Source organism: Homo sapiens, chromosome 3, assembly GCF_000001405.40.
Source record: "Homo sapiens chromosome 3, GRCh38.p14 Primary Assembly".
Classification (NCBI taxonomy): Eukaryota; Metazoa; Chordata; class Mammalia; order Primates; family Hominidae; genus Homo; species Homo sapiens.
In genome coordinates, this window is record NC_000003.12 from 187,502,671 (window position 1) to 187,510,636 (window position 7,966).

The window sequence follows — 7,966 nt, forward strand, 5'->3', positions numbered from 1 at the left end:
TTTGACATGAGATTTGGGTGGGGACACCCACCTTCTTAAAGGTGTTGGGGAAATATAATTAAAAACAAAATCGCCTCTCAATCCAGATAACAATTCCACAGAAATAGAAGAGAAAGAAAACACTTTTTATTATTGAACAAGCATTCAACCAGAATGTGATGGACATCGCAGGCAGTTTGCTAAAGGACTGCAAAGACGGAAAGAAAGCTCATCCCCCTATATAGTCAAGCACACACAACCCATTACATACACATGGTCAAGATAAACTATCATTATTTCTCAAGTAAGAAAACTTGACAGGACCTTTTGTCACACATGGTTCATTCTAACTTTACCATGGTCATTGAGAAGACCACCTGCGTTGTCTAATTGGCTTTATCTGAAGAAGAAACCACACTTCCTATATCTTTATGACAAGAGGTAGTTTTGCAGATTGTAAGAAAGTCTCCACTGAAATTAGGCTCTTACCCTCCCACAGGAACTGGGAGATAGGGGAGCTAACTCCCTCTATGCCACCTTGAGGTTACAGAAAGAATAGGGGCTCAGAGCATGGAAAAAAACTCATTATGGTGGTAAACCAGTTTATGGTGGCAAGATAGGTGTTTTGTTTTGTTTTGTTTGAGACAGGGTCTCACTCTGTTGCCCAGGCTGGAGTGCAGTGGTGCAATCTCAGCTCACCACAACCTCTGGCCTGTGGGCTCAAGTGACCCTCCCATCTCAGCCTCCTGAGTAGCTGGGACCACAGGTACATGCCACCACACCTGGCTAATTTTTCTATTTTTAGTATAGATGGGGTCTTGCCATGTTGCTCAGGCTGGAAGATAGGTGTTTGGTTTTTTTATTTTTATTTTTTAAATTTCAACTTGCAACATAGTTTGTGGGAGGAAGAGAAAAGGAGGCCTGACTAACAAAGGTGGTCTTATTATACAGATTAATCCTCAAAGGTAGCAGCACCGAGAGAGAATAGACAGTAAATGTTTCTTTACCATCTCTTAACCGGACTCTCAGTTAATTTCTCCTAAGTCCAGACTAGGGGGGTGCTTCCAAGAAAGTTTGTTGTATCTGCTGTTGACTTCACTTTATCTCTTCTACAGGTGTAGATCTCCTGACAAAAGACAGCTTTGCAGGACTACTTCTGTCTGCAGGCCCTATGAACAGCCATCTCAAAATATATCAAAAGTATATTTTGGGATGAAATATTTTGGTTCCCTTCACAATACACTTTCTCCTTCCTGTGTGCCACTTGGATTCACAGCGAGAAAATTCTATATTTTCACATGTAGTTATCTCTCACCCAGTGTATAGGCATCCTGGGAAACAGGATGAGGCAGTGTAAAGTAGTACTTCTAGGGTGACCAAGGTCCCAGTTTGCCTGAGACTATCCAGTTTTAGCACTGACTTTCCCCAGATCCATTCTATTAGAATCTTCATATTAACAGGATCCCCAGAGTTCATTAAGCCCATTAAAATTTGAGAAACTGTTGTAGGGTGAACAATTACCTTGGTTTGCTCTGGACTGTAGGGGAATCTTGTTAATATGCAGATTCTAATAGAATGGGTCTGGGATAGGGCCACATTTTGAGCAGCAAGGATTTAAACTACAACATCTGTGTTTTGTTTTCTTTTGTTTTCCCCAGATGTCTATGTTCCTTCTCTTTGGGGCCTACTACTGAGTAGGAGCCTCCTTGCTAGATTTTATGTAACAGTGAGTTTTCTGTATTCCATGAGCCCGTTGTCCATCACTGCAATTTAGCTTTTTCCAGAATCTCCTCCAACCTGTCAGATATACCATTTGCAATCCCTGGTAGTAGGCATTGCTGATTTCCCACTCAACATCCATCTCTTACGTCTTTCCTCCTACAGAGACTGTGAGATGAATAAAAATGGATCCTAGAGGTTTTTAGATACCGTGTTTGCTAGTCCTTATCTCTGTAAGTTAGTTAAGAGCAGAGACTATTACTCATCCCTGATGCTGACAACATGAAGCATAATTCCCTGCTTAGAGTAGTCATTCCATAAATGCTTGTTGGCCCCTCTTCTGGTCTCACTTTCCACTCCTAAAACATTATTATTATTTCTCTTTCTTTTAAGAAATGGGGTTTCACTATGTTGTTCAGGCTGGTCTCAAACTTCCGGGCTCAGGTGATCCTCCCACCTCACCCTCTCAAAGTGCTGGGATTGCAGGCATGAGCTACCATGCTCAGCCACCTAGAACATAATTAGTGTTTGGAATCTTCTAGAAAGTAGAAAAATGATATTAGCAAAGGCATCTAGAAGTTGTAGGGACATGGAATTTAGAACTAATATTGACAGTGGCTGTGTATATCCACGGGCTACATATTTACCATAAGCCATTATTGTTTGTCTTAAACAGCAAATGCCTTTTAGGTACATGGCATTATGACATGTATTCACTTATTGAGGTTAACCCCCCAAAATAGCTTGTAGGGTAAATACGTCAGTAGACATTGAAAAGATAGTGTTAACCTAGGAGAGTGATCGTCTTTCTTGTAAGGGTTTTTACAAAAATTTGGTGGCAGGTCCACCAGAGGTTGATGAAAAAGAAGAGATGGGTTAGATCTGTGGACACAGGTGCAGCAGACACAAAAGTGGCTTGAGAGCAGCCAACAAGCACATCCTCACCACAAACAGTGGACTGGAAAAACAGTAGAACAGCAATTTACAAACATGCATATGGTAGACAATTTCCTTCAAACAAGCGGCAAGCAAATTAAAACTGTGTTATGGCAAGATAAACTGCATTTTATTTTTCCTTAATGATGTCTTTGCAGAGAGGGAAAAAAGTGAAGAGGTGTTTTGTTTGTTTGTTTGTTTGTTTGTTTGTTTTAGATAGAGTTTTGTTCCTGTTGCTCAGGCTGGAGTGCAGTGCAGTGGCACGACCTTGGCTCACTGCAACTTCCGCCTCCCATGTTCAAGCGATTCTCCATTCTTCTGCCTCAGCCTCCTGAGTAGCTGGGACAGGCGCCCACCACCATGCCCGGCTAATTTTGTATTTTTAGTAAAGACTGGGTTTCTCCATGTTGGTCAGGTTAGTCTCAAACTCTCGACCTCAGGTGATACGCCCTCCCCGGCCTCCCAAAGTGCTAGGATTACAGGCGTGAGCCACTGCGCCCGGCCAAGAAGAGGGTTTTAAGGGAAAGGTTGAGGACCAACCTTTGGTAAAATAGATGTTTAGATAAACCTCTCATGGTATAACCCACCTAAAATTCAATGTATGGATGAGATTGGAAAGTAAAGAAGGCCAGACGTGAAAGACGGTGTGGATCTTCCGGGACAGTTTTGTCATTGTGTGACCTCTCACCATGGGTGACCTAAGATTGGGCTCCTAACTGGAGCCAAAGCTGGAGCCTGAGCAGAGTGGGGACTGGGGTTGCAGACGACCACACAAACCTAAATTCTCCGATGGGGAAGATCTCCACAACTTGCAGAGGGAAGTAATGGACAACAGGCTTGATTCTGGGTAGAGCAGAAAATACAGAAAAGAAAACAAAAGTTTCTTCTCACAATTCCTAAACCTGGGCAGTGTTCAAATGAGTTGGAGGCCTGAGTTTACCCTACCATGTGGCACCAAAAAAATCCAAGCCAAAAACTGAGTTTAAAGTGTGGTCCTAGGGTGACAGGGCCTCTTGATGGCTAGAAGGAGCAAATACAAGTCTTCTGAAGAAAAGCATTTTAAACTCAGGCAGCAAAGAATTTCTACACAGAATCCTCAAGGAAAATGACCTCACATGCAGAAAGCACTGTCCACATGGGTTAGTTTATATGGGAATTAGCAAAACCAACAAGCTCCCACGTCTTATCCATGAGAATGGCAGATATTAGAGTTACCGGAAACAGAATATAAAATAGATATCATTAAAATTCCTAAAGTAAAAAAAGCGTAATTAAAATAAGAAAAGTAAAGATTATGAAGTTTGACCAGGTGGAATTGAAGATCTTAATTATGAATTTTATTTATTAAAAATATAAAATTGGCATTAGAAGATTAATGGATGGGTTAAATAGTGTATTAGGCACAGCAGAAGGAAGAGTTACTAAACTGTAAGACAGACTTGATGAAGTGATAGAAAGAATAGAGAGGCAAAAAAATTAACATTTAAAAAAATGTAGACACACAGAGGCTGGAGTACATGTCTCTAATGTACTTAGCAGAATTTCAAGAGAATGGATAGAATGGAAGACAGAAAATATTTGAGAGGGTAATGGCTGAAATTTTCTGGAATTAATAAGGACTTAGATTCAGAAAGCCTAATAAATCCCAAGCAGAATAAATGAAAAGAAATTCACACTGAAACACACTGTAGAGAAACTGTAGAACACAAACAAATCTTAAAAGCAGTTGAGAAAAAAATATTACCTACAAAACTGGTAATTTACTTTTCAACTGCAACAGTTGAAATCAGAAGACATGTCTTCAAAGTACTGAGAGAAAATAATTGTCAAAATAATTTTGTATGTGTAACGACATCATCCATCAAGAACAATTGAGAAATAGAGACATTTTCAACAAACAAAAACTGAATTTACTTCCAGCAAACTCTCATAGAAGAAAATCTAGGTAATGTTCTTCAGAGAAAAAAAAAAAAAGAATCCCAGAATTAAGTTCTGAGAAATGAAAGGAATACCAAACAAAGTGTAGACTTGTGTGGCTAAAACTAAACAGATATTGACTGTAAAAGAAATTAACAATGTCGTTCAATTTGTAGTGTTAAAAAAAATCAAGACAAAACTCATATCTTAAACAGCAATGGCATGTAAAGTAAACAGGGTGATTGCCTCAGGCCATTTCACTTTCCTTTTGTTGTTCAGAAGACAAATATGCTAAGACCATTTACTTTGGACAATATTATGTTAAATGGACATGTAAAATTTTAAGGGTAGCTGGAATAGTGGAATGTAAAACTCCTAAACTGGTGGAGGAAAATAAGTTGAATGGAGTGGGAACCAGGGACACAATCAATCCAAAACATGAAAAAAGAATTAAAAGAAACAGTAAAAAGAAGAACAAATGGAAATTATGAAACAAGATGAAAGAAATCAACGTTATTGAACCCCCAAATTTAGGTTCATGTACCTGATACATGGTAAGCCAAACACTGGCAGATCAGCGCTCAGGAGCAGAGAAAGGTTTGTTTGATTTGGCCAAAGTGAGAAGGCAGGAGAAGCAGTCTTTCAAATCTGATCTGCCTTTCAACATAACTGAAGGCTTTTATGAGTAAGATAGGGATACGGGAAATGGGACCCCCTGATGACCAAAGTTGTTTGCATCCCTTGGACTCTAGATTTCATCGGTCCTGATTAAATTTCTGGATGCTATCAAGGAGGTCTGCATGACCTAAGGATCGTTGTTCTTGTAAAGAAAAACAAGTTCATCAATCTTGTGGGCAGCGCAAGGAGTCAGAATATGAAGTTAATCAATGACCAGTGACTACCCTCTACCAATGTGACTACGTGCAAGCAATCATGCATGGAGGAAGAAGAGGGCAAGGAAAAAGGAAAATAAGTAAAACAAACATCTTATGACCTTTATAATAAAAGCTCAGTTGCATTAACTTACACATATCAGTTATCACAATCAATGAGAGTGAAATAAACTCCAGTTAGAAGACAGGAATATTCAGAGTGGATTTAAAAGCAAACTTACAAACTTAGCTATATGGTGTTTACAAAAGACATAACTAAAACACAAAGGCATAAAGACATTAAAATAAGCAGATGGAAAAATAAATTCTAGGGAAATGTCAAAACGGTAGACTTTATATTAAAAGTATTGCCAGAGATAAAGAGGTTTCTTAAATATTTTGAAAACTACAGATCTCCACAAAGATAATTCTGACCTTTTAAGCATTGAAAAACATGTATTCAACATCCAGCAACAGGAAAGTACTTGTTTTTGATCTCACATAGAATCTTGCAGAAAATTGGCCTCATGTTAGACCAGAGAGGTCTCAATACAATTCTCATGAGTTTTTGGGTTACATTCTCTGATCACAGTGCAAATAAGTTTGACATCTATATTAAGAAAGTGGATTTTTGGAAGCAGAAATTCTTCTAACAACATGTGTAAGGGCTAAGAGAAAATGTCCCCTTCACCCTAAGATTCACTGAAAAATCAGCTGAAAAGAGGCAGATTAATAGAAGTGTAAACCAAACATCTTTGGAGAAATATTTCAACCTTTAAAGGAGAAACGGTGGATATTGGGAAGGAGGAAGAAATTTTTAAAGGTATGGGTAGGTAAGAGACAAATGGTTGTGTTCTTTTGAGTCTTTGATCAGGCTTTTATTGAATACACAATTTTCCTGTGAGTGGGGGTAGAGGAATAGTCACTTCCGCCTTAGTCTGGCTCAGTGAATCTGCTTTTTTACATCATAGGAATCAATCAGATGCCCTTTTGTCTCAGGTGAGCAGAGAGATGACTTAGAGTTCTGTCTTTTGTCCCACACCTGTGAAGATAAGCTATCAATTTACATTGTCAGGGTAAAATTCAACAGAACCATTTTAGGGTAAAGATTTGAGGCCCACAAGGAATTTTCTAGTGGGCAAATTGTGACGGAGGTATGTAGCTTTTTACAATCTTTACACCTATCTTATTTAGGAATGGGAGGCATAATGGGAGGTTTGCCCCACACAATTCCCAGCTCCACTTTTCCCTTTGACTTAGTGATTTTGGGGTGCTGAGACTTATTTTCCTTTCACAGGATAAATGGCATACAAATTTATTAACATGCAAAGAGGGGAAATCAGTGATTATCCCAGTCTCCCAGTGGGGTACAGAAGCTTATAAACCATCTTGAGGCTACAGATAGAATGGGGACTCAGTGCATGGCCAAAAACAGGTTATGGTGGAAAATCAGGTTATGGTTTGGCAGTACAGGTTATGAGAGAGAAAGACAGAGACAGAGAGAAAGAGAGAGAGAGAGAGGTGAGAGAGAGGCTTGGCTAGCAAAGGTGGTCTTCTTACGGAGATAGAACCTTGCAGGTAGCAGCGATGGTAAGCGTTTCTTTCAGAATTTTAAAGGTTTCAGACTCTAAATTAATTTTTTTTTACCTGGACAAGGGAGGGCTCCAAAGAAAGCCCAGCTGCATCAGTGCAGATTGTCTACAGGTGCAAATCTCCACCACAGAAGACAGCTTTGCAGGGCTACTGCTGTTTGCTGGCCCTCTGAAGGGTCATCTCAAAATATGTCAAAGAAGTATGTTTGGGGGTGAAATATTTTTATTTCATCCACACATGTATTTCAAATCTTTATTTTAGGTTTTGCTGATTGGCAATTTTGATAAATTTATATCTCATCATTTTCTGGAACACTCTGCTTTATGTTTTATTTTCTTGAACCAAAATATTTGGTTGAAGCGTCAGTGTTTCATAAATTGATTCTCAAGTGCCATATAGCATGCGTATGTGCACACTCACTCTTTGGTTGTTTGATAGAATTCAATTTTAAAAAGAAGCTAAATTCAAAAAATCGGTTTTTAGTGTTAGCCTGGGCATAAAGGACTCTGTCAATAATTAAAATCCATTTTTAAAAAGCCTCAACCAAAAAAAAACTTTTATGTAATTATGTTTTAAGTATCAGTAGTGTATTGATTATGGTAATTTAAAAAACCTATGGTTATTAATCATTATGACAGAGTTATTTTGCTTTTTAAAAAAACTTTATTGACTTAACAGGAAGAGGCTGAGATACAAAATATAATTTAAAGAGTTTCACTTTGGGAGGCCGAGGAGGGCAGATCACAAGGTCAGGAGTTCAAAACCAGCCTGGCCAACATGGTGAAACCCCGGCTCTACTAAAAATACAAAACTTAGCTGGGCATGGTGGCACATGCCTGTAATTCCAGCTACTTAGGAGGCTGAGGCAGAAGAATTGCTTGAACGGACACCTGGGAGGTGAAGGTTACAGTGAACCAAGATCGCACCACTGCACTCCAGCTCCAGCCTGG

The 7,966-nt window shown here is 39.1% G+C and overlaps 1 long non-coding RNA gene across 1 annotated transcript in view; it reads right to left on the reverse strand.

Moving 5' to 3' along the window:
* The window catches only part of LOC124909471 (uncharacterized), a 30,393-nt gene extending 25,187 nt beyond the window's left edge, over window positions 1-5,206 (reverse strand). Inside the window, exon 1 of the long non-coding RNA XR_007096210.1 lies at window positions 5,096-5,206. This is a non-coding gene — a long non-coding RNA (uncharacterized LOC124909471). The remainder of the gene's footprint in view (window positions 1-5,095) is intronic.
* Window positions 5,207-7,966: the final 2,760 nt, after the last annotated feature.